Raw genomic sequence first — 26,189 nt, 5'->3', positions numbered from 1 at the left:
ATATTGTGTTTCCAGGTTGAATCGTCAAAGAAGAAAATTCTTACTCAAAGTAAATTCATGTTTTCATAAATGCAAGTTAAGTAAAACGTGATCAAGTTTTACAGAGCTTTATCATACCTTCTCCTGAAGTAATTATGTCAGGAGATGTCAACAAAGATGAAATAAACAGGAGGAGGATGAACACATTACCTTTAATTTCCCAGTCAGGCCACCAACAAACAGCATTGCATTTGCATCCACATCTAGAATCGTGTACCCTGGAGGAGACGTCGAATGGTGTGTGCTGGGCACAATGCTGGCTTTGGGTCCATCCAGGGCTCTCACAGAAATAGTTCCATTTCTCCCAGTTCTTCAAGGGTACGTGTTGAAGTGAAGGGGAGGAACATACAGAAAATGAAATATGCATCACATTTCTGGTAATTCCAGATTTAAAAGATATAAAATGCGGAGACTTGTTTTTAAGAATTTAAGAGAAAACTGGCTGTTTAGTTTCTAACATTCCAAATTCATTAGATCTCGAATCAATACTCAGAGTCTGATCTTGGCTCAACACTTACATCAGTTTCAACCAGAACCAGTGAGCACCAGGTCCTGATTCTGTGTGTGTTCATTGACATGAAATGACACAGCAGCAGTTAACTGATGGAATTGCTATTGGTTAAGTGGAAAGCCTTTTTCCTATGGCTTACATAATAATTTACTATTTACCAACACATACAATTTATGCAAGTTTATATTACTTTATTCAGCATTTTGTCTAATTTAATTCAGCTAGTGGACCCCAAATGAGCCACCCTTTCATATCATAAGCTGCATGATTTCTCCTAAAATTCTTTATAATATCTTGGATCCCAGTTTGTTGAAGTAGTCTTCCTAGAATGGTATATCTTTTATTGTTTGGCACAGCATACTAATGTATACAGTACAATATCCACCCTTCAGATTTCAGTGTACAAATTGCATAGAAGTTCATTTTTAAATTCAATTAACAGAATTTTGAAAGCTATTATCATTTTATTTCATTTTCTTTTTTAAGTGATTGATTTCCATGAGCTGTTAAATATGAAAATCTGGTCTCTCTTTTGAGACAAGCAGTCATAACAAAACTTCGATGTCATATTTCCCTGACTGCTGTCTCACTTTGGTAATCTTTTTTCTTTGAGGATGCAATGTTAAGTGAAATACATGGTAACAAAAGAATGAATTTATCAAATAAGGTTCACCTTCTTTAACAGAATGTATCTTTTCTGAAAGAAGAACTGCACTTTATGAGTATAAATGTCCTTAAACCCGGTTAAGTACTTAATTCCCTCAACACCACCAAACACGCAAGCACTCTGTCACTCTCTCTCACACATGCACACACACTTTTGCTGAAAAACTTCCTTAAAAAGAACTAAAAATATTGCTTCTCATTTTTTTTTATAACTTTTTTTTTTAAGAGATGAAGTCTTGCTATGTTGCCCAGGCTGGACTGCAGTGGTTATTCACAGGCATGATCATCATGGACCACAGCCTTGAATTCCTGGGCTGAAGTGATCCTCCTGCCTCAGCCTCCCAAGTAGCTGGGACTACAGCACATGCCATTGCACATGGCTCTTTCTTTTAAACTTTTTATTATGGAAAAAATTAAGTATCTACAAACAGCATGAAACTCTATGTATCACCCAGAGTCAACAATTAACCAGTTCTTTAAGTCTTCTCTGTCTCTGATCAGCTTCATGTCTAGCCCTAGGCCCTTAACCATACCTTTCAACTGTTAGCTGCTTTGGGTTTAACAGGGAGTTGAGAATTGGGAAAACAAGAAGAGAAAATGGGAGGGAAGTGCTGAAGACAGGGATAGTTCTATAAGTAATCTATATGGTACTAGATGTTGATAATTGCATTAAAGCTCCAAAGATAGAATAACTGAATCAGTTCTCAGTTACTTCCCATTTTAAGTAGGGTGGACCTGGTATGTTACATAAGAATTTCAGTGTTTTGAAACTGCATTTTTCTATGGTGGCTATGTAGACTAAAGGAGGAGCTGTGTACAACAAAGACAAGCAATAATGGTGCTCTTATGCTTTGGCTTGTATTGCATAAGAATAAGTGGCAGTACTTTCTTCAGGCAAAATAGGAAGCCTGAAACAGCGACACCCCCAAATTCCTACCAGACACAAGATGAAGGGGTCAGAAATGGAGTTGTTCCTCTGGTCAATACCTGGAAGGTTTGTCAGTTCCTAAGAAGTATGACAAACATACCCACTCCCAGACATGTATAAAATTCATACACATGTGTTTACATGCATACACAGTTACCTTATTGAAATGGAAATAGGAGTTTTCTTATAAACTGGGAAACTACTTCAAAATTCTATCATTTAATTATCTTAATCTTTATTAAGTTGGTTACCTTGATGCTACGATACGGTACCAATATGAGTCATCAATAGTCAAATCTGGGTACTCTACACGTCCAACTCCAGATCCAACATCCCAGAGGAAGCTGACTTTGCCTTTACGCATTTCTATAGCCAGAAAGTCAATCTAGTTCAGAGAAATACAAAAACAAGAGATATCAGATATAAAGCACCTTTAAAGAGGAGACCAGCAGAGTGTTTTTCAATAAGCGCCATTTGCAGACATGTGAAATGATTAGGAGCTTCATGATAATACTTGTCAAATAATATTATTTATTATTATACATTATTAAAATAATATTTTATTTTTATATCCTTAAAGCAAAAAAAAAAAAAGTCCATAATGCTCAGGCATGTTTGTTAATTTTACCAATTCAAATTAAGTCTAATTTTGAGACCAAAGCCTTTCTCACTCTGATACTTGTGGTAAAGATAAAAACAAATATTTAAATTCAGAATCCATTATTATTTTCACCAAGGACACTGACATTTTTGAGGGGGCAGCTATGATTTTATTTCCCAAATTGACCCAGAATTCCTTACCCAAATGGCAAATATTGACTTATGCCATGAATGATTTGTTAAGAAGTCATATTCATTTTGGAAAATCCCCATGCATGCAAAGTCAAATAGTTCAAATGGAAGAAATTAGAACTTTATGGGTGGGCTTTTGTAGATATAATCTGTGTTATTTCAGTTCAGGTCATAAATTCAACACAAGTTAGAAGAGTTTCCATTGGTAAAAAAAATAGTACACACTTTGCTATTTTCATTTCATTAACGGAAGAGTTTATTGTAATTTAGTTTGAACAGTAAATAAGATAAATAAATAAGAAGTAAATAAAATAGCTTTATTCTCATTAGCATTCTTAAATCACTGGATCTGAAAGTATAATTTAACAGAAATGATGGTATACTGACAAATGAAAGTAAATGTGACTAAACACTGTAGTTTTCTTCCTTTCATTTGCCTTCTAACTTAATTTGACTCTTCAGAATTTTGTAAGGTAAGACGTTGAGGTTTTCAAATCTGAAAGCCTACGTTAGACCATTTGGGGACCATATACATTTGGGGATTCTATACATTTTCAGATTAACCTCTAGCTATACACATACAGCAGCCTAATGAAAAGTTGAATATTAGACTTACAAATTTGGCACTTCCAAGATAAAAGAGGAGGTTATCAGCAACAGCTGTCTTTACGTTGACAACAATATTATTGTAACTTCCTTTCTTGATTTCTGGTTTGTATGTTCGAATGCAGTCACCTCCTGAAGACACAGATACTTTGATCTTTAAAAAAAACAAGATACAAAGAACCAAGAGTAAATCTCTCAGAAAGTTTGAAGTAGCTTCCATACAACCACAAAGCCATCATCGTTTCTTCTTTGAAGTTATTTTCTATCATCAAATACTATCATTAAACACCCATATGCAGACACCATTATACTCATTAATGAGGGCACAGAAGAGCAGTTTTCCACTAGAATTTTGACTATGAGCTGTTCACAGTTCCATGTCTTGTTAGCATACTATTTTTTGAAGCATGCAACTAACAAACTTCTAACGTCATACATTTCTCCATTATCAATATGGGAACGTTTTAGGCAGGTGATTTTACATGGAGCTAATGAGAATGACCTTCATTAAGGTTGTTTAATGAAATTTTACAATTGAAATTTCAGCGGTTTTGGTATCACTTAAACTAAGAAACTATTTTTCTTTTAGTTTTCAAGAGGAAATTACCAACCCTCCTATACTCTTACAGTTGAAAGAGGACAAATAGATTTTGTTCTAGATGTTCTAACAATAAGAAGAATATTAATCATTCTACTCAGAACATACATTTCAGAATAAATTGTACCTTTTCATGAAGTTGTCAGGAAATGAAATGGAAATAATTTCCAATGGCTATCACTATTAATGTATTTAACAGCTCCCTTTTCTTTTGAATAATACCTTAAAAATTACTATAAATTGCTAAAAAAGGAATGCCTATATGAATAGAGTAATACTGTTCATACCAATTTTTACTTATATTTAGAGAGCCTTCCTTCAATCATAAATAACACTAGTTGATTATTTGATTTAATTTCTGTAGGGTCAGATGGAAAATCACCATCAAAGGGTTACTTTCAGGATAGCAAAATAGTTGCTTGGACTCAGAGAGAATCTGTAACTTTGTTCATTGATAGCGCTCCAGAAGGAGGCAGAGAGAGGGGAAGATGTAAAATCTCTCTTTGCCATTTGTTCAAATGCCCTCTTGGCCTTCACTAGCAGTGAATTTCCATTTTTTCATTTCTTCTAGCATTTTGTGCTACTCATGTAATTTGCACATTTGGAAGAAAACCAACTAGCATCATCATTACCTCCATGAAAGGGCTGTGCAGACTCCCAACAAGATAGCCTAGAAACCAAAACAGCCTCCATATGATCATGACACCAGGAGGTGTCTCCAAGAGCCTCATTTGTGTTTGAGTATGGGCAGAACTGTGGCCCTTCTCCAAGGGTCATGCAAGTATACTGCAAAGGTTGGGTGCCAAATTGGTTGGATTCAAAAGAGAAGGCTAAAGAGGGATTTTTGCAATAGGTAAATTCATATAGATTTGAGACCTTCTGGGGATACAGAAGATCTGTTACGTCTCCCACAGACCGCATAAGTCATTTATTTGTTTATTGTTGTTGCCTCACCTGATCTGCTAATCAAATTGTATCTCCATGAAGAGGACACTGTGTTCTGGAGAGAAACAGGGGCTGTTTCCTCCACCACCCAGAGGAGGGTGACTGCTGGAGGCCTGAGTGTGGTGGCCTGGGGCTGGACATTCCAGGAAGCCTACTGCTTAAACCACTTTCTTATTCTTGCCTTCCCCAAAAAGGTGGGGCCAGCCTGCCAACTGCTGGGTGCAGGACTCAGGGCCAACTATGGTCCTCAGAGTGTTTGTTCTGTGTCCTAGGGAGACAGTCTTCTGGATAGGGTGGTTTTCAGTTGGGAAGTTAGTTCCTGCTTCACAAATCATGGAATTTCCCTTCTACATACAGTGTTGAGAGTAGGTGAGTGAAAATGAATTGCAAAACAATGGAGGTAGGAAATGTACAATTTTTACTTGGATGTTAATATGGCAAAGCAGATGAGCAATGGGACTTGGCAAAGGGTGTTCTGTGATACAATGGCAGCTATACCAAGGGTCATCCAAGGGATTAGAGATAAAAAGAGAGAAGCAAGAGAAAGACAGCACAGTAGAGGGCAGGTGGGAAAAATATGGTCTTCAGATATTTTTAATGTTCAGGAAAGGGTGTCAGATATAGTGATTTTTTAGCAAGCTGCTGAAAGTGAACCAAAATCATTATCAGAGAAGACCTTGGCATTGAGAAAATTTAATATCTGAGGCAGGCTATACGTACCATTGACATCATAAGAGGATCAAAGTGAACAAGAAATCAAGATCTGACTGGAATTCATGAGTAGAACTGAATAGCATAGTGCGTTATCCCTGGCAGACAATCATATCCAATTCTGAATGGGGCTGAATTAGTAGTCAAAGCGACTGTATGTAGTTTACTTCATTTTTATTTAATAAATGCTTTATAGCTTGGCCCTATGGCTGTATTATGGCTAGTTTAATTCCTAATAAATCAGTTTTGTTTAAAAAACACAGTTGAGGCTGGGTGTGATGGCTCACATCTGTAATCCCAGCACTTTGGGAGGCTGAGATGGGCGGATCATGAGGTCAGGAGATCCAGACCATCCTGGCCAACATGGTGAAACCCTGTCTCTACTAAAAATACAAAAATTAGCCGGCCATGGTGGTGGCATGTGCCTGTAGTCCCAGCTACTCAGGAGGCTGAGTCAGGAGAATTGCTTGAACCCAAGAGGCAGAGGTTGCAGTGAGCTGAGATCGTGCCACTGTACTCCAGCCTGGGTGACAAAGTGAGACTCCATGTCAAAACAAAACAAAACAAAACAAAACAAAACAAAACAAAACAAAACAAACAACACAATTGAATAATATCCCTCAGTTATTATTTAGAGAAGAGATGACTCAATATAAATGTAATATGTGATCATTTGGTCACAGAATGAATTTCAGTCATTGCTTAGGTAAGCCTGGTAAAAAAAAAAAAACGGGATTCCATGATTAGTGTGTTGAAAAGGGGGTTGCCAAAGTGTAACAGACAGAGCCGGGTGCAGTGGCTCACGCCTGTAATCCCAGAACTTTGGGAGGCCAAGGCAGGCGGATCACGAGGTCAAGAGATTGAGACAATCCTGGCCAACATGGTGAAGCCCTGTATCAACTAAAAATACAAAAACAATTAGCTGGGCGTGGTGACATGTGCCTGTAGTCCCAGCTACTCAGGAGGCTGAGGCAGGAGAATTGCTTGAACCTGGGAGGCGGAGGCTGCAGTGAGCTGAGATTGCTCCACTGCACTCCAGCCTGGCCACAGAGTGAGATTCCATCTCAAAAAAAAAAAAAAAAAAAAAAGTGTAGCAGACAGAGCAGCAGCACTAAAATCTAACTGCTCTGAGAACTCCAAGTCTAAGAGAGAAGCCATTTTAAAACTGAGTATCTAATGTCACTAGAGGTTACAACCAATCTATTGTATAGAATACATATCTAACAAATATGATTCTTGAAGCAAAATGATGTTGTTATACCCAATATGCCGGCAATTAATCCTACAGAGTAACTGCTATGGCTTGAATGTGTCCAACAAAATTCATTTGCTTGAAATTTAATCCTCAGTGCAACAGTGTTGGGAGGGGGGCCTTTTGGGAAGTGTTTCGGTCATGAGGGCTCTGTCCTCATGAATGAATTGATGCCACTATTAAAAAGGCTTACAGGGGTGAGAGCTCTCTCTCTCTTGCTCTTCTGCCATGTGAGGGCACAATGTTCCTCCTCTCCTGAGCATTCAAAGTGCCATCTTGGAAGCATAAAAACAGGTCCCTAACCTGCCAGCATCTTGATCTTGGACTTCCCAGTCTCCAGAACTGTGAGAATAAATTTATTTTCTTTATAAATTACCCAGTCTGTAATACTCTGTCACAGCAGCATGAAGTGGACTAGACAGTAATCTATTGCCCAGCTCTCACACATTCATATAGAAAATACTCTTGGATTACCTGCTTTCTGTTTTCTGGTTTTGAATATACTCTCAGAAACTGAAACATTCACTTAGCCCAAACTGTTGACAGCCAGTACATAATCAGTAGTCTTTTCCTTTTGAATACTTTCTGTTTTGATTTTCAGTTATAGGTATTTCTTTTAAACAACTTAAAACAGGTAAATCAAAATACTGTATCTCTAGAAGAAATCAGGTAAATCAAAATACTATATCTCTAGAAGAAATCAGGTAAATCAAAATACTGTATCTCTAGAAGAAATCTTTAGGATATGTCACTCTTGTAAGAGGAAAGAAATTTCTGAAATTCAAACATCCTTTTAGAATGTTTGGCTCTATCAATTATTGTTATTTCTAATGCAGATCCTTAGTAAGACATCTAAAGAAAAATCACTAAGCATTAAGTATCTTTAAGGCATTTCAATACTGCAACATTATTTACCAGTTAATCATGATGAACTCAAACATTATTGAGTATCCCATTATTATATCTATTGGATTTTCACTGCATTTTTCATCCAGTAAGTAGGTCATTCATTTAAAGGAGTATCAGCCACTCAATTTCAGAATCAACAAACCCAGAGAAAGCTACTTTAAAATAAATGTCTTTAATGTTTTGGTCATGTCAAGTATGTGTTAAGGTCATATCCAGATATCCATATTTACAAATCAGAAAATGTAATATTCATTTAGTACAAAACTCATTTGGAAAAAAATTGGCTACTTGCATATTTCTAACGTCTTACAAAAAATAAGGCATTGTGTTGTAATTCCATTTCCAAAACTGATTGGGAATTTCTTTGAAATGCATGGACAATGATTACTTTTTCTTAACGTTACTTTTGTACCTTTCTTTTTTTCTTCTCTTTTTTTTTGGGGGGGGACAGGGTTTCTATTTGCCACCCAGGCTGGAGTGCCATGGTGCAAACATGGCTCACTGCAGCCTCATCCTCCAGAGCAAGTGATCCTCCCACCTCATCTCCCCAAGTAGCTGGGACTATAGGCATGTACCATGCCCAGGTAATTTTTCAATTTTTTGTAGAGATGTGGTTTTGTGACATGGCCCAGGCTGGTCTCAAACTCCTGAGTTCATGCAATCTGCCTGCCTCAGCCTCCCAAAGTGTTGGGATGACAGGCTTGAGCCACCATGCCCAGCCTATACTTTTCTTTTATTTTGTACTTTAAGACAGGTTTTATATGCTTACATGTCTGAATTTCACCGTTTTGTGAGGAGGGGAAAAGCACTCAGAAATCTTTACAATGAAGAAATAATAAAAATGTCTAGATTTCTCCACTTGATGACTAAGTCAGAAAATGTGGCTAAATGTGAGATTCACAAAATAATATTTACTCTTATTGCTTCTTCCAAGTTAACATTGCAAAATATAGGAGTGGTACATCACGTTCTTCTTTTCTCTTGCCACAGCTATAGTTGGGTCCTTCATTCTTCTTTCTTTCATCTACCCCATACACTGCTTCTGGATTTATATTTAAAAAGCACAGCTCTGATTATACTGTGTTCCATGCTCAAAGCTTTCAGCTTATCCTAACCAGTGAGGCTTATCCCAAGTACCAGTGTTGTTAAATGAAATTGCTTAACTGATTATTGAAGGCCTGACGAGACCTGGCCTCTGTTGATCTTTCTGGTTATGTGTTTCCTTTATCAATTACTCTGGGCAAACTGGACTTCTTTTTCCTAAATGGACCCTAAAACTTCCTTCTCCCACTGCCTTGGTTTAAGTCATTCCCTCTTCTCAGAATACTCTCCCTGTTACCTGACTCCACCCCCAACTCCCCAGCACTATCCCACCTCAATGCCTGGCTCAAATCCTTCCCTTCAGGAAATCTTCAGGCCCTACTAGAGGTGATTGTTCTTTCTAGAACTTTTATGTCACTTCTCACGGCTTCTATAATGTGGCATAACATTCTGCATTGTGTGACAAGGTACGTGTACATATTTTATTTTCCCTACTATTTTATAAACTTTGTGAGTGAAAGAACTCCTTTATTCGTCTTTGTGTACCTTACGGAAAGTAACACTGAACATAGTAGAGGCTTTTTCCATGTTGGCTAAATCTTACATAAAACTTCAAACCTTGAAGTAACATCTGGTTTCTTTTAATCTTGTGCTTTACATACATAATGATCACATGTCAACGATACTGCCTGGCTTTCATATTCTAGCTGAATATATGTTTTCTCAGATCTTTTCACTGATTTACTACTCTGATCTTATGTAACATCATCTTCACTAATCTTTTTGTTGTTTTCTAGGTTTTTTTTCAGTCAGTCGTGAATTCCTTTTCAATGTTCACCTTGAACTTACTGTCTTGGAGTTGTTTAGAAGTGTTAGATGTGAATAAGGAGGAAAAAGAATATGCTGTTACTGGAGCATCGTATTCTTAAATACTACTAAAAATATAAACTGATGAACTAAGAAAGGGCTTTTCTGATCATCCTAGTTCCAAAGTTGTTCAAAAAACAGAATTTTTGACATGGAAAACTGAGGTATCTAAAAAGGTTTGAGTTCAAGCCTTTCTTGTTCAAACAAGAAAACTGCCCTTCCTTCTTTCTTTCTACCACCCCTCCCCTCCCCTCCCCTCCCCTCCCCTCCCCTCCCCTCGCCTCCCCTCCCCTCCCCTCCCCTCTCCTCCCCTTCCCTTACTTCCTTCCTTTGACTAAAGTTTCACGTTGCCACTTAGCAACTCTGCCCTGGCTCATTAGCATGCTACCTTCTAGAAAGCTCTGTTTCTATCCTAGTAAACTTCTAATTGGGTAAGTAAAGAGCAAAATTTTGAGACAAATCAGCTATTTCCTATCTACTCCAAAACAAAAAATAAATGTAAAAAGTATAACCAAAGCCATTTTTATTGTTGTTTATACCAGACAAAAGAATATATATGTAAAATGTTTGTTTCTCTTTGCTCTTATTCTGTATATTGTTCCTTCATTCCTGCCATAACCCCATTAGTTGGCCTTTTTTTTTGGTTTGTTTTTAGCAAGAGGAAGGTACTCTCATCCATGGCTTTTTAGTATACAATAATAAGGTTTTCTTTCTTGCTATTTGTATTATTCTATGCAAATAGTAATAGAATATACCAGAATTCCCAGTTTTAAAACAATAAGTGGTGATTATCATTCTCATGAAATGTCTTTTGAAATTTACAAACAAAACAAAACTAACCTCTCCCCCACTCCAACCCCTCCTACCCCAAATCGCTTCGAGTTAAAGGAAAAGGACCCAAGATCATTCAACGGGGAATCCTGGGGAAAGACATTCCCTCTATGAATAATCCAACAATTACAATCAGTTACTGATACTGACGATAAAAAGAACTTACAGAATTGGCTTGTTTCCGAGCTTGGTTTATCAATTCCTTTATCTCAGAGATGTTTTTCTTTAGGTTATCCTCAAGTTCCTTGATGGGTTTGAGTTTATCTATTAGCCGGTCAGCTTCCTGTTCTAAATTTTTGACAGTGGCATCTGCATCGGCAACTGCATAGAACAAAATTAGTGTGCATGTATATGCATGCACACACGTGCACACACAGAATTAGAATAGCAGTATGCTTAACCAAACAATTTCATCTTATTAATGTGACAAAGCATGGCCATAACAGCTAAAGCAAAATGTGTGATGGCAAATGTCAATATTTTAGTTGAGACTCAAGCAGGCCAGGGGAGTAGATGTTAGGACAGAGGGCCACCACTTTTTCTTTTTGATTAAGGTAAAAATTAGCATTGAAGGTAGAGAATATGAAGAACTTAATTCAATGCTTAATTTCTAACTTCAGCCAAAAAGTTAACCTTTACAGAATAGAACTTTAGTCACAGAAGCAAGGAAATGAAAGCATCTTTAAAATGTCACCTAGTCTGTCCAAGCCAGAACTGTATTTAAATCAGGGTTTTTACACAAAATTGGTTTTCTTTCTTTTTCTCACCGTCTTTTTTTGCACATCTTAAAGAGAGAAGCTATCAAAATGTCTTTTGAAGAACATTTTGATGTTGAAAAACCCTTAGACTAAAGGCCTACATTTAATTAAATCTTTCATGGTGCAGTTCAATTTCATTTTGAAGAATAGTTGATTACCCTGTGTTACATATTAGGTTGACCTATATTAAACAGCTGTTTTTGTAGGTTAAAAAAAATAAAGGGTTACATATTGGCAATTTCAAAGTTTCAACCCTAAAATAGTTGAAGGTCATCACTGATCCATAGACTTTCAGTATGTGCTTTTCAAGGGAGGGCCTATGCCACGTGGTAAACCACTTATTCTATTGCTGGGATGCTGGCAGTCTCATCCACACTATGTCATTTATTATCTGATTAAGTGTGTATTGTTCAACTTTCTGTCACTGTGACTCTGATGAAAAAGTTAAACTGCTTAAGGTTCAAGGCTACATGCTGTGTTAGACTCTGAATGATCTGCTTTGCGGCTGACATACAACCACTGAGAACTAACCCTCAGGAACGAATCACATGTGCTCAAAGGGAAGTAAATTATCATTTTTTTAAAATTAGGTTTTAAAGTAGGTATTTTGAACTCATAAGTATGACTTATGCTGTTAGCGGCATTTAAAAAGAACATAGGTCTATTATTAAATTTAACTAATAGATTTGCTATATCAAGAACTGAGTGCAGTATTTTCTTCCTGAAATGCATGTTATCTGGATAGAAATGTTTGTTATATCATCATACAGATAGCATAAACACAGTGATCCCTTTATTTTGTATGCTTTTAATAAACCGTTTGTTCATTTTTCCCTTCCTTTAATTCTCCATTGTTATTCTGACATTCTACAAATTATTCTAAAACTGAGGCAAAATGATTTAGATTTAGATTAATGAGAAAGAGCAAAAGTAGTTAAAGACTACTTAGACTTAGGCAAATTACAGACCCTTTTATTCACAAGTTCTCAGAAGTTTTTGCCAAATGTTTCAAAATGGAACTTGGAAGTTCCTCTTCTCCCCTCTTTTTCCTCTATTCTCCGGAGCAGTTGAAGTTTTTCCAAGTGATCTCTTATGTGTTAAATTTCCTCCCTTGTCTAGTGATACCTCTTTTAGAGCTTTGCCTATTTGTCCTTTATTTTTCTTGATGAAACTTGACAATCACTTAATTTTTAATCTATATTCCTAAGGAGTCACCTTTTTGATTTATCAGGTCTAATATTTTCTGTCTTCAAATTCATTAATTTTTCCATCTTTTTCATTCTTTAAGTTAACTCTGCTTTTTCTAAAGTCAGCAAAGTTGATTGTTTAGAATTGTTATTTCAATGATGGTTTAGTAATGTAGTTGCTCTCATTTTCCGCTGAGGACACTCTTGGTCATATTTTTCAAATAGTGATATATTAAATTTTGTTATTCTTGTTATTATTTTTTGTAGCTATTTTTTTAGTTTTTCTTGACTTTCAATTTAAACTGTGGGATGTTTAAGAGAGAACATTTTGATATCCCAGTAGTTGTTCATTTGTTAAGACCTAGTTTTATTATGTGTTTCTCCAAATATAATTCTACAGAAGTTGAGAATAATTACAAGGAGAGGAAAAAGTGAGCTTCAGTGGGTAAAAACAACAACAGTGTAGACCTTATCTATTTTAATCCTCTTGCAATTAAGTCATTCGTGTGTTGGGGTGAATTTGTGTTATCAGAAACAGCATAATCTAGTTAATTCTATAGAGAAATTCAGTTTTCCACTTTTATGTGGCTATCATACAGATATTTCACTCATTTTTCCTTTTTGTAGAGATAGAGTCTTGCTATGTTTCCCAGGCTGATCTCAAACTTCTGGCCTCAAGTGATCCTCCCACCTTGACCTCCCAAATTTCTGGGGTTAGAGTATGAGCCACTTCGCCTGACCAAACTTTTTATAACACTATTAAAAACATTTTATATCACCTTTATCCACATATGACCTTTTTATAAAGGAAGATTCCTTTTACGCATCTACCATTAATACTGTAACAGTGGAAAGAATAGCTACGCAATGTTTAAAGCAAAACCAAAATATAGTACATGCAAAGCTGAAACTTTTTGCAATAGGCAATGAAGCATGAGCGTTACTAAAAGGTATATAAGTAAACATATACGTACTGATTTCTGCAGGCAATTTCACATGGAAGCAAAACAAAAAAAAATTATAAATTCATGAGGAAGTATTTTCTATAAATATTATAAAGTAGTGACTAAAAATGGTATTTTTCATAACAGGTACTAATTATAAATGCACCCCATTTTAACTGAAGCAATTGTTATCAAATAAAAGTACACAAAATATATAATTTAGTGGCCACTATTTGTATTTTAAAAATTATTTCTATGTTTTAGTAAGATAGAAAACAGACCCAATTTAATTAATATTTATAGATAATTAACTATTTCTCATAATAGAGGATAGGATTAAAACAGAGATATGACAAAAGGCCACTACCAGTTGAGAATCAATCTAAAATAGAATGGAATTCTTTTGGAGGGTGGAGAGCAGGAGGAGGGAGAGGGTCAGGAAAAATAACTAATGGGTACTAGGCTTAATACATGCGTGATGAAATAAATAATTCATAAAACAAACCCCCATGACACAGGTTTACCTATGTAACAAACCTGCACTTATACGCCTGAACTTAAAATAAAAGTTAAAAATATATCTTAAATTATGAAGTAAGCAGCAGAGATAGTAATATTTGATTAAAATTTTGTTTTCATTCATTTTTAGTGGGAATATTGTGATTTGGCATAAATCATAAGAAGTTATTATGTAAACTTTGAGCTACAAGAGAAGCCATTTCTGGGCTTACATTAAAAAATTTTAAAAAATGTTTTTATCTCCCCTTTTTCACCCTGGCTCTGAAGTTTATGTTATATGTGTTTGTACTCTTCCTTGCTCATGAAGGAGTCGTATTAATAATGTCTATTATATCATAGCATCCATAGGATTTGATTTGAGGCTAGGATGCTGAAATCAGGCTCCATTCCCCACTCAAACAGCATTTGAATTTTATGGCATATAATACCAATTACAGTGCTTTTGTTTTTATACTCCAAATATTTTGATACCCCCCCAAAAATGTTGGCATATAAAGAGGGCTAGTCTCTTGAAAGTGAAAAGCACAGATTACCCAAGCATCTCCTTTGGTGAAACCATGTAACAAGGATACCAAGATAACCCCCTTTTTTTTTTTTGAGACAGCATCTCAATCTGCCACCCAGGCTGGAGTGCAGTGGCGTGATCACAGCTCACTGCAGCCTCACCCTTCTGGGTTCAAGGGATCCTCCAGCCTCAGACTCCCAAGTGGCTGGGAACACAGGTGCAATGTCACTACCATGCCTGGCTATTTTTTAAATTTTTTGTAAAGATGGGGTCTTGCTATGGTGCCCAGGCTGGTCTCGAATTCCTAGGCTCAAGTGATCCTCTCGCCTCAGGCTCCCAAAGTGCAAAGATTACAGGTGTTAACCACTGTACCTGGCCCAATATAGCCTTGTATCATTTGACGGAAAAGGAAAAATGCATTTTAAAATCTTAATATTTTGACTATATTTAACTAATAATATAAGTTATGATATTTTCTCTCAGGTTTTCTCAGTAAATCCTTAAGTCAATATAATTTTATATAATATATAAGAGATGTGAATAGTCTTTAGAAACTAGATAAATGCTTTATTTTTATTTCCCAGAAATGTGATGTAACTGGAATCTAAATAATAAAATATCAAGATTTTCAAATTTTAATGCATTTCAAGTTGATATCATTTTCATATCCTGTTCTAACAAGTCTGTTCATGAACGTGCCCCTTAACCTCTATGTTCCATGACACTTCGCCAGTTCTGAGGATATAATTACCCAAGTACAACTGTGTTTTTAATTACACACACGGATTAAAAAGTGTTTTGCATCTCTCTGCTGAATGTTAGGCACACCTTGAGAATTCCTAATCTCTTCTCAACTGGAAAAATTTCAGAGGAAAAAAGCACCGGGGCAGAGCTAGAAGACTTGGATTCCAGCTTTGGAACTGCATGACACTCAATTTCTGAGGCCAATCTATGAAAGAAGGAAGGCAGACTACACCACCATGAGGGTCTTTCCAACTCGAGCATTTACAGGTCTGGGATACTTTTACAGTGAGAGGAAATAAATGACATCATCACAATGAAAAAGGAGATCTTACTGTTCTTGGAAGGATCTTTAACCACAGCATTCGTTTTGGCGACGCTGTCTGCTAGTTTATTGTAATTCTTCTTCAGGCCATCGAGGTTCTGGTGGAGCTCTGTAATCTGTGCCAGTACATCTTTAGCTGTGTCGTTGGCTTGTCTGGCTTTGTCCTTAACAGCTTGCAGTTTAGCAGCTGTATCTGTCAGCAGATGAGGGTATGAAAAACAAAACAAAGGGTGTGGAGTTAGTGGCTTAATCCATGCTTGACAAAGCGAGGCTGTGGCTGGCTGACCTCGGACACATTTACAAAGGGAAAAGGCTGAACTTTGTCTCATTCAGGTGTAGCAAATGAAGCAAATTTTTTTAGGTAAATTAAATTTTCTCAGGGACTTTTGCTATGAATACCTGATTAGCTCTTAAAGTAGTGACGTGACTATTCTAAATGTTCATTGTATAAGATCATATTGTGATTTGCTGCTGAACTTATTCACGAGATAAATTTATCCACATGAGCTTCATGAAAACGAGGCTTAAGATTTAATCTGCATTTCCAAAGCAGGGCAGGGGTTGGGGTGGGGGTTGGAGGGAAACTAACGTATTTTCATTTTAGGATAGAGAAACATTTTCAGGTATGTTAGGCCATGCATTTATACTTGTTTTCAGCATTGGAAATTTTCTATATACTTACTACTGAAAAAGGGACATGAAAATCTGAAAAGTTACTCAGGTTTTTAAACGTTAAAAAAGTAAAAACCACCGAGATTTTAATATTAACTGTGTTGTATAAATATGTGCATTTGTCTCCTGATCCTAATTTGTATATTGTACCTATAGATGACTACTAGTGTGTATAGGTTAGTGGTTAAGATCATAGGCTCTGAAATCAAACTGTGGGGTTTAAGTTTCCTCTGTGCCACTTTTAACAATGGCCTTCAGTATCCTCTGTCTGTTTCTCACCTGTAAAGTGGGGATAATAACAGTATCTTAACTGATGTTAAGTGTTAGTGCTAACTTATGTTATACACAGAAGACAAGTTGTCCTTCTGTGTCAGTAGGTTCTGTATCTGTATGAATACCTAATTAGCTCTTAAAGTAGTGAAGTGACTATTCTGAATGTTACCTATGTTATCTATACTTATGTTATCTATATAACCAATTGAGATAGATATATATATATATATATATATATGACCAATTGATGCAAGCAAATGAAGCAAATGTTTTTGCTCCAATTGGTATGAGGATTACATACACTTAACATAAGTATATTAAGTACTCAATAAGTGTTTATAATCTTTGTTGTTATTATATCATGCTTTAACAATATAAAAATAGTAAAAGTAGTATCTTTAAAATAACGTGTGCTTTCAGGAACTAATACCATGCAAAAATTTCCAGCAGTTCTAATAGGTAGAAAGATATTACAGACATGGTTTGACCACTAATGTTTTTGAAAGTTGGAATAGTTAAAGAAATTGAATTTTATCAAGAGAGAATGCAGTGGGCTATCACCTATTACTGCAGGTACTTTAATAAACTGTGTCTTTGTGGTGGTACATCAGTATTTTAGAGATTAGTGTCTATGTGATTTATTCTATTTCACTAATACACGATTTCTTGGGCTGAAACACAGAAGACAATACAGTTGTCCCTCTGTGTCAGTGGGCTCTGTATCTGTAAATTCAACCAACCTTGGAGAGTTGGATATTTGGATATTTAGGGGAAAAAATGGTTGTGTCTGTACTGAACATGGACAAACTTTTTTCTTGTCATTATTTCATAAACAATACACTGTAAGAATTTACATAGCATTTACATTATATTAGGTATTATAAATGATCTAGGGATTAAAGTATATGGGAGGCTATGCATAGGTTATATGCAAATACTATGCCATTTTATAAAAGGGACTTGAGTATTCAAGAATTTTGATATCTGTGGGGGGGGGTCCTGGAACCAATCCCCTGCCAATACTGAAGGATGAGTTTTATAATAATAAGATGTCTATATCTTCCTTTCTGTAACACATTCCTAAGGATACTGGCTAAAGGCAATAAAAGATAAAAAATACCATAATGCAAAGTATGGTTTAGTTTCTCATTCTCACAAAGAAGAATTCATGAGTAAGAAAAACAGTATCTAATTTCCAGATAATAGTACCAGAATAATCTTAGAAAAAAATGGTAAAAGTTAACAACAGTCTTCAAAACTTCAGGTCAACTGACACAGTTGGTAGTGTCCTGAATGCTTACCATTTGGAATAGCTGATAACTTTCCCAAAGTGTCATTCAAAGTTCTCAAGAGATCCCCATTTCTAGCATCAGCATTTTCTATCCTGGTTTTTAAGCCATTTAGATGGTCTTCATTTTCTGCGAATAAAAAACAAAAAAAAGGATTAAATAAGTTTTATCATCCCTGAGCTTATACTTGGATGTGCAATTTCAGGTTATTTTAATATAAAATTAATTAAAAGCAAGAAAATGTATTTAATTTATTGGCATCTATACATAAATATATTTCCAATCATATTTTAAAAATATGTGTTTTTATTATCATTGAATTATTGGATGCTTCTACATGTTGAACAATGACATTTTCTTCTTGGTATCTGATCTTTATCTGACTTAATTTGATATCTTCCTATAGAGAAGAAACCTCCAAAGAATTAGTCTTTTATTCCATTTGTAATTATGCCCTCTTGTTATCACTCCCATTGATTCCACTTATTTAAAAACTTTTATTACCAAAATGAATCATTGGATTAGATTTTCAAAATCTCAGATATGATTGTTTAGCAGAATCCTCCAACTTCAGTATAATAATATTTGTTAATATTTATTTGGACAAAAATACACATTAAAGAAATGGAAAAACAACATTTAGCACATATCTGATAATAGTCATTTTTCTCATAAAGAAAACAATATTTTTACAAATTGGGTCCAATAAATTTTATATAGTTTTTTTCTCTTGATACTTTAGCAATGTTATCTTTAATATTCAAAAATGCCATTTGCTAGAGATAATTTAATATTACATATATAAGTTTTCTAGCTGCTTTCCACTAGTTTTTAATATTCTCTAAACTTTAGATTAATTTATATTGTAATAGTAACTAAGCAGTTTAAATTCGAGTACAACAATATAAAGAGTAAAATTTGAAATCATTAAGGGGAAAGAAAATAAAGATCCAATCTGTTGATATAAGTTTAGAAATCTTACTCAGGTATGCATTAAACTGCAAATATATCTTAAGACTGAAATGGAGTTCATCTGTCTTCTTTTTCTTACATCATTTATTAGTGAAAATTCAAATTGAAAAAACAAAATATGAAAAATCCTATACTTCCCACAATATTATTTACCTCTCTTGACTGGATACAACAGCTCATTTTTTAGGTAAATTTTTAATAGTTTCTTATGCCATAAAAATTGTTTTGGGACATGCGTACTAATTGTTTAAATTAGCTCCACAGAAATGCAACATGTAAATACAAGACAGAGTCCCCAAGTGAGGAGGACCACTGAGAAAGGACCAAGAAAGAGAAGTTGTTCTAGTCCCTCCTGGATAGGATGGACAAGTATTTAGTAAGAGTAATGCCTGACAAGCATTGAATGTGTATGTTACACGCATTTAGTGTTCTTCAGTTTCAGTGGGTTGTTTTACTTAATCCTTACAATAACATTGATGTATGATGTATATGATGATGTATATACTACTATTATCTCCAATTTACAAATGAGGAAATTGAGACTTAGAGAAGTTGAGTAAATTTCCTAAGCTTGCATGGTTAATAAATGGCAGTGGTGGTATTCAAATCCACATAGTCCCATTCCATAAACAATGCTAACTACTGCATTCTACCAAGGATTGATAGTCAAAACTAGGGATTAGTAGAGCATTTTGGGTAGCAATGCTCCTCCCACCATCACCCTCAACCTTTTCTTCCTGTCCTCCTCCTTTCCTTTGTCTTCCTCTCATTTTCTCCTTTGTTGTCTTAAAGAAATTGGTCACAGTTACAGAAATCAGAGAAGCCTCACCTAAGCAACATATATAACCAAGTTGTAATTATTCAGAGTAGAATAGCATTGTCTATGTGCAAAACTGGCAGGCAAATATGCAAAGTGTTCCATATTTTTAAGGATAATGAGGAAAATATAAGAATACGTAGTTCACAATAAAATAAACATACATAATCATTTATGAAATTCGTAAAAAGCACTCAAGATTATCATAAAGAACTGTAAAACTAAGCAACAGTAAGATGTCATTTCTTATTTTTGAGATTGGGGAAAATTAAATGTATGATAATGCCAAGTGTTCACAAGAGTGCTAGTGGACGTGCAGATTGATTCCATTGTTTGAAGAGCAAGTTAATAAGTTTATTAGAATTTTAAATAGACATGTATTTGGTTTGGCAATTCTACTGATAGAAATTTACCCTTCAATATACCTGTAAAAGATTTATCTTTGGGGATACTCATTAGCTCTTCATTTGTAATAAAAAAAAGGAGGGGGGAATAAAAATACCCTAATAAGATTAAAGTGCTGTTTATATCCACACAGCATGTTCATACAATGGTACAGGTGCAATCTATAAAAAGAAGTAGATGAGCGGATATGGATGTGAAATAAACCTTAAGACCTTTCCATGAAAATAAGCAAGATGCACCATATATATGCTGACACATATACAAGCATTTGGCATGGTAGGGGCTGGTGGGAGCTGGGTAGAGAAGAACATGCCAAAAACCTTTACAGTAATTAATAGTGGGTAGAAACTGGGAATGAATGAGGCAGTTAATAGTGCCGTGAGGGACAATGTACTAAAACTTCTCATTTTATACCCGGTTGTGCTGGCTAAATTGCTTTCTGTGTGCATATATTTCTGTTTTTCAATGTTTTAAAAAACTTAAACCACCTAACTGGGGAAGAATGTTATTTGCTATCTTCATGTTATTTGTCAACACCAAGACTGATTTTCATCACTTTCCTGGTACCCAGAGAAGGCAGGTGGGAGAGAATACGCCCCAAAGAATAGAGCTACAGCAGTCTTGATTTGACTGTGTGCACACCCCTCTCAGAGGTTGTGCATGTGGCTCATTAGAGGAACTGTGCAGGCCATGGGCAGCTGGAGAACTATCCTCATCTTTGTTGGCCTGCATCTGTGAAGAATAGCAAAGGGAAAGGTGGATAGATGGAGGATTCTGAACTATCGGTGTCTGGATGTGAAGAAGAGTACGGGACATATTAATTAATGATTCACTCCACTTCATATAAAGGGTTTTATAGGCAGACACCTTAAACTTCTGTTATACTACAGATTATACTAATATAAGCACATAACATTGTTTAAAGTGTCTGTTGTTAAATTCCAAGCCAAAGACCTGACATCACTGAAAAACAAAGCATAAAATATTCCAGCAAAGCACGGCTCTAAAACATCAATATGTCTAGTTCAGTCACTAATATATTATTATTTTCAATTCTAAGCCCACAAAATATACTTTCCAAGTAATTGGATTTTCTCCTCTGTCAATCACAATTCATCTTTCTTATAATACTTCTGTTATTTTTACTGTTTATACTAAAATAAAATCTTTGGATAGGCTACCAAAAGCATACTCTCTGAAATAAAGCCAGTCTGATTATGACTGTGATATCTATACAAATTCTTTGAGAATAAAGGGCTGCTCTTTTGATATTAGCTTGAAAGTCTTCAACACTTAAGAAAATGGAACTGTAGAAATTTCATTTCTTAGCTTCTTGATTGGATTTAGTTTTTAAAATAATGGAGCATTCAAATGTTCTGGCAAGCAAGATATTCATGTATGGTGAGAAAGATCATTAATTTGAAGGGTATCCCTGGGTTTATACCACTTTCTGCATTCTGATAGCAAAATGCTGGCTGAACAACTGGGCCAATTATTCAGAAGACTGACCTGAAGAATATTTTTACTGCTGCCTCTCAAGTTCCAAAGCGCTAATTTTGATTCTCTGCATTTTTTTTTTGTACTAGCAAGTTACAATGTGTATATTCCAACCCTGTTCTGATTTTTTTTTAATGTTTCAGCTGCTTGACTCTGATCCTTATTAATTTGCCCTTTCTTACGCTGATCACCTTTTTCTAAAGTAGTTTCTGGAATTTCTTGAACTACATCTAAACATTTTGTAGCTTTGGTGATAGAATTAGATGAGTAGAAGCTATTCAGAGAAGAATTGCAGATTTCAAAATGGAACTTACAAAATAATAGCGAGGAAAACCTAGAAAAATAAGCACTCCTGGGCTGATTTTAAATAAAAGACAGAGGAGGCATAGTGTATCCATAACTAAAAGTAAGAAAGAACTCTTGTGATTCAGTTTGAATTGTAACAAGGGTGAAGACATAGAATTATCGATAGTTAAAAGAAAATCCAACTGAATTTTTTTACTTGTGATTTCTGGAGAATAAGAAGAAGATTTAATTTATAATCCATAGTTTTATTTTCTAGATTCCCTCTCCTTATTCCTTCAGCTCTCAAACCCAATAACAGAAGCCTAGTCATTCTACTTTCTCTCTAAAGATCACATCCACCAAAACTCAAAGGCTACACACACATACGTCTTTAAGTCTGGCTCTCCCTTTCTCATCTCCTCCTCATAGAGTAGAAGAAAAATGTGCTAGAATTAGTTTGGCAAAAGCAGGACTCACAATGAGGGAATGGAAGCAGCAGAGTAGCAAGGGTCGACTGGGAACACAATGACAGTGTAATTTTCCTTTGTCACATGCCCATTGAAATGGCACAAGATAGATATATCCAGAATAAAAATCGCAGGGCAGAGTTGCAAGTCACTTGCATTAATAATGAGCAGTTACTCTTGTTTATCATGTTTCTGACATGATGCTAAATATAAATTAGGGCTTAGTTATATTAGAACTAACTATGTACGATCTCAAAATAAAACTGCTACACAGTATTTCTCTGAAATCTAGTCTGGTACAATGAAATCACTATAGGACACAGAGTTGGAAGATGTGGGTTCAAATGTCATTTCTGTCCCTTTTTACATATGGCAAATAAAGAAAACATCTTCCTTCATGTGACTGATATGAGAAATAAACTGGGAGATGTATGAGAAAGTGCTGGATTTACCATAGGCAGTAAGTAAAAGGTAACACACTGACATTGGTTTGAAAATTGTCCTGGTGTGTTTTACCAGTTTTTATTATAATAATGCTATTTATGACTTTATTCCTTTTTTATTTAAATTACTTGGTCCAGAACCTAAGTTTATTTCGTTTTTATATTTCCTAAACATATGTATACCTATGTATATATTCCTCACTTTTCAACTAAATATCGGGACGATTTTTATAAATTTTAATGGAAATGTTTAATTTGACTATTCAAATTCCATCCAGTTGAGTTTCTCAAATGGAATTTTTATTTTTTATTAATATGAATAGGGCACAAATAAATGCCCTGAAAGAATGCCCCATTCACAAGGGTGAAATTCATGGAAATGTGATTACTTTTGAAAGGACCTGGGATTACAGGCATAAGTGACTGTGTTCAGATTTTGGCTTCTTGAGATTTCTAAAGACCCTGTCCCCTAAGTCAACCTAAATACCCAGTGCAGGATCTTGAGACCTGGGTAGGAAAGAAGAGCACCCGAGTGAGGAAGAATAGAAGTTGAAATCTACAACTGTATTTCTCTCCTAGGTCTCCAGCAAATTGATTTGATAAGGTTGCTACACCCAATCTTTGTACTTCTTAGAAAAAATCCCTCCAATTTTCTGCATTATGCAGGCAATCATTGAATTTGGTGACAATGATTCGGAACGGTATCATTTCCTGAACCTTTATATTTCTAGCCTTCTTTCATGATTGTTACTCCTGTGCTTCCCTTTCCCTAGTAGCTGTCACAAGTTTGGGATGTGCTGTATATCTGATTACTTATTCTGCACAGACAGACATACATACTAGAGTGACCACATATGGGAACCTCAGAGATGACTGTTTCACAGGGAGTCAGGTTATGGAGAAACCCTCTTCTGATCTGAAAGTAAGAAATTAGATCTTGTTCGCAATAAGCACCATGCTTGCATATGCTCTTCCTCCCACTAGGGGGTCATAGTAGGAGCTTCAGGAAAGGAGGGAAGGTGTACTTGTCTGGTAGCAGGTTCTGCAAAGATTCAGGATATTGGGATAAAAGGGAGTCCCCTCTGCAGCCAGTGGAATGAAAAACTAAAACCACCAGACATCAACACCTGCATTTGGCTCCTCTAGGACATGGTGACTGTGGGCTTGCAGGCTTGTTTTCTTTTGCCCAGCAAGAAAATTGAGTTTGAATACCTTTAAATAAGACAAATAGTCTTTGGTTTAACACAGGCCCCACCATCCCTTTATGTTATCTGTAAGTCTCTTGAAGGCATTTCTGTTTATTTCTGGTCTAAATTAACTTACTTGCAAAAAACGCCATAGAATCTCAGACTCTGATTCTGAACACACAACAAAGCCCAGATAAGTTTTTAGCTCTAAGCCCCATTTTTATTGCACAGGCCTTTGTCTCTTGCTGAGATGATATACAGGAGTGTTCTGAATGTTTGTTTCTTGTCCTCTACTCACATGGTGGGGTTGGATATGACAAGCTACGTCTCGCTCTTAGGGATAATCTTTCCAATAGAACCTGCCCCTCTATATTTGCCACTATTTTGCCACTTATTGTTTTTTCTCTAATGGAAGTCCACCCTGGTTTTATTTTTTTATTTCCACCATTCACACTCTAAAGGAGGAATCAAAACTTTGTATGAGGGATCAGCAATTTCACCTGGAAAAGACTGCTTTGTTCTCCAGACCACAGTAGGCCAGGGGACCCAGGCTTAATTTCATCCTTTTAGTCTAAAATTGTGGTCAATAGAGCAGATTTTGCTTGTCTTTTGCATGCCTGCTATGGAAAGGCTGATTCAGGCAAAGGGTAATATGCAAATTCAAAAGGAGTATATCTTTAATAATAAAAGGATCCCTTAGTCACAATTGCACTCCTATATCATACTTTGGTTTAGCAGCACTGCAGTATTCCAGTTTATTCTCTTATTTTTAAAATATAAAATAATAACACAGAATCTCAACAGGTTAGCGTTTGCAAGTGTATTACATCCATGATCTCAGAATCTTCAAGACCCACTTGTCTGAACGGAATGACTGAGTGTTTGGAGGACCACTGTATAGAAGGAAGGCTTCAACTGGTTTGATAAAACTTAATGATTGGAATAATGTTTCATACTGTTCTCTGTGTGGGACAGCACCATATGTCAAGCAATGCACTGATTCATTATTTGGGCTTGGGAATAGATTCTTTTTTTAGTTTATAAAGTTTATGTTATGAAGTTTAGTTATGAAGTTTATGAAGAGTCTAATGTTATACATGGATTTTCAACTGTGCAGGGGTCCATGCTCTCCAACCCCTGCATTGGTCAAGGGTTAACTGTAATTATATACCACAGGCTACAGTGCTATGAGACAAACCGCCTCCTTTAAAATGAGCTGTCATAGATCTCCAGGGAATAGGTCTTTTTATTTCCTGTGTTATCTATTTTATAGGTATGTTACCTAGTTTTTTTTTTTTTTTTTTAGATAGAGTCTCACTCTGTTGCCCAGGCTGAAGTGCAGTGGCGCAATCTCAGCTCACTGTAACCTCCGTATCCTGGGTTCCAGCAATTCTCCTACCTCAGCCTCCTGAGTAGCTGGGATTACAGGCACCCACCACCATGCCCAGCTAATTTTTGCGTTTTTAGTAGAGACAGGGTTTCACCACGCTGGCCATGCTGGTCTCAAACTCCTTACCTCAGGTGATCTGCCCACCTCGGTCTCCCGAAGTGTTAGGATTACAGGTGCGAGCCACCGCACCTGGCCAACATGTTACCTATTATTTTTCTAAGTAATTAAATAATTTCATTTATCTTGGGCAAAGACAAAAATTGGGGATAAATTAAGAAGGAAATAAAACTGAAAAGTTAGTCAATATAAGGTAAGATGTATAATTTTAAAATCTTAATATTCTCAAACTTTTAATAAACCAAGGTCTACTTCTTCCTTGCCTCGTACACATTCCATGAGAAAATGAAGTTGGCATTTTACTGAAAAAAATTATTTTAAATTTTTATTATTAATTAATTAATTATTATTTGAGACAGGCTCTCACTCTGTCACCCAGGCTAGAGTGCAATGGAGCGATCTTGGCTCACTGCAACCTCTGCCTCCTGGGCTCAAGTTATTCTCCCACTTCTCTGCCTGCCTCGGCCTCCCAAAATGCTGGAATTACAGGGCATGAGCCACTGCGCCCGGCCTTAAAAAATTTCTTGTCTATCTGCAAAGCAGTGTTCATTCACCTGGTGGTACTAATTCATCTTTTCACTCTTTCAGTCATCAATTTGTACCAAGCCTCATATCCATCAACAAAATACTTTTTATCTCCACAAACATTCGATCAGTGCAATGTAGACAGGCTTCAAATCTCAAACTCACACAAGGGCAA

The 26,189-nt window shown here is 35.9% G+C and overlaps 1 protein-coding gene and 1 pseudogene across 2 annotated transcripts in view, besides 2 other annotated features; one reads left to right on the top strand and one right to left on the bottom strand.

The window, feature by feature from the left end:
• The window catches only part of LAMA2 (laminin subunit alpha 2), a 633,429-nt gene that overhangs the window by 59,883 nt on the left and 547,357 nt on the right, over positions 1 to 26,189 (bottom strand). For both annotated transcript variants that reach the window (NM_000426.4, NM_001079823.2), the window contains exons 42-48: positions 17,922 to 18,038; positions 15,686 to 15,868; positions 13,616 to 13,621; positions 10,863 to 11,017; positions 3,553 to 3,696; positions 2,396 to 2,529; positions 190 to 349 (exon numbers count right to left, since the gene is read on the bottom strand). In NM_000426.4, the coding sequence (NP_000417.3) occupies positions 190 to 349; positions 2,396 to 2,529; positions 3,553 to 3,696; positions 10,863 to 11,017; positions 13,616 to 13,621; positions 15,686 to 15,868; positions 17,922 to 18,038 (899 nt within the window). The remainder of the gene's footprint in view (positions 1 to 189; positions 350 to 2,395; positions 2,530 to 3,552; positions 3,697 to 10,862; positions 11,018 to 13,615; positions 13,622 to 15,685; positions 15,869 to 17,921; positions 18,039 to 26,189) is intronic.
• Positions 15,476 to 16,081: an enhancer, noted in NCBI's record as "NANOG hESC enhancer chr6:129761748-129762353 (GRCh37/hg19 assembly coordinates)". NCBI's record gives its function as "activates a minimal SCP1, AML or CMV promoter by ChIP-STARR-seq in naive H9 embryonic stem cells {active_cell/tissue: H9 hESC(naive)}" and the evidence as "EXISTENCE:reporter gene assay evidence [ECO:0000049][PMID:30033119]".
• Positions 15,646 to 15,940: a silencer, noted in NCBI's record as "tiled region #661; HepG2 Repressive non-DNase unmatched - State 20:ReprD". NCBI's record gives its function as "represses a minimal TATA promoter and a strong SV40 promoter by Sharpr-MPRA in HepG2 cells {active_cell/tissue: HepG2}" and the evidence as "EXISTENCE:reporter gene assay evidence [ECO:0000049][PMID:27701403]".
• On the top strand, positions 19,704 to 19,809 carry RNU6-861P (RNA, U6 small nuclear 861, pseudogene; annotated as a pseudogene).

Source organism: Homo sapiens, chromosome 6 (genome assembly GCF_000001405.40).
Source record: "Homo sapiens chromosome 6, GRCh38.p14 Primary Assembly".
Classification (NCBI taxonomy): domain Eukaryota; kingdom Metazoa; phylum Chordata; class Mammalia; order Primates; family Hominidae; genus Homo; species Homo sapiens.
The sequence above is the reverse complement of the archived record's forward strand: the minus strand, read 5'-3'. Positions and strand labels throughout refer to the sequence as shown.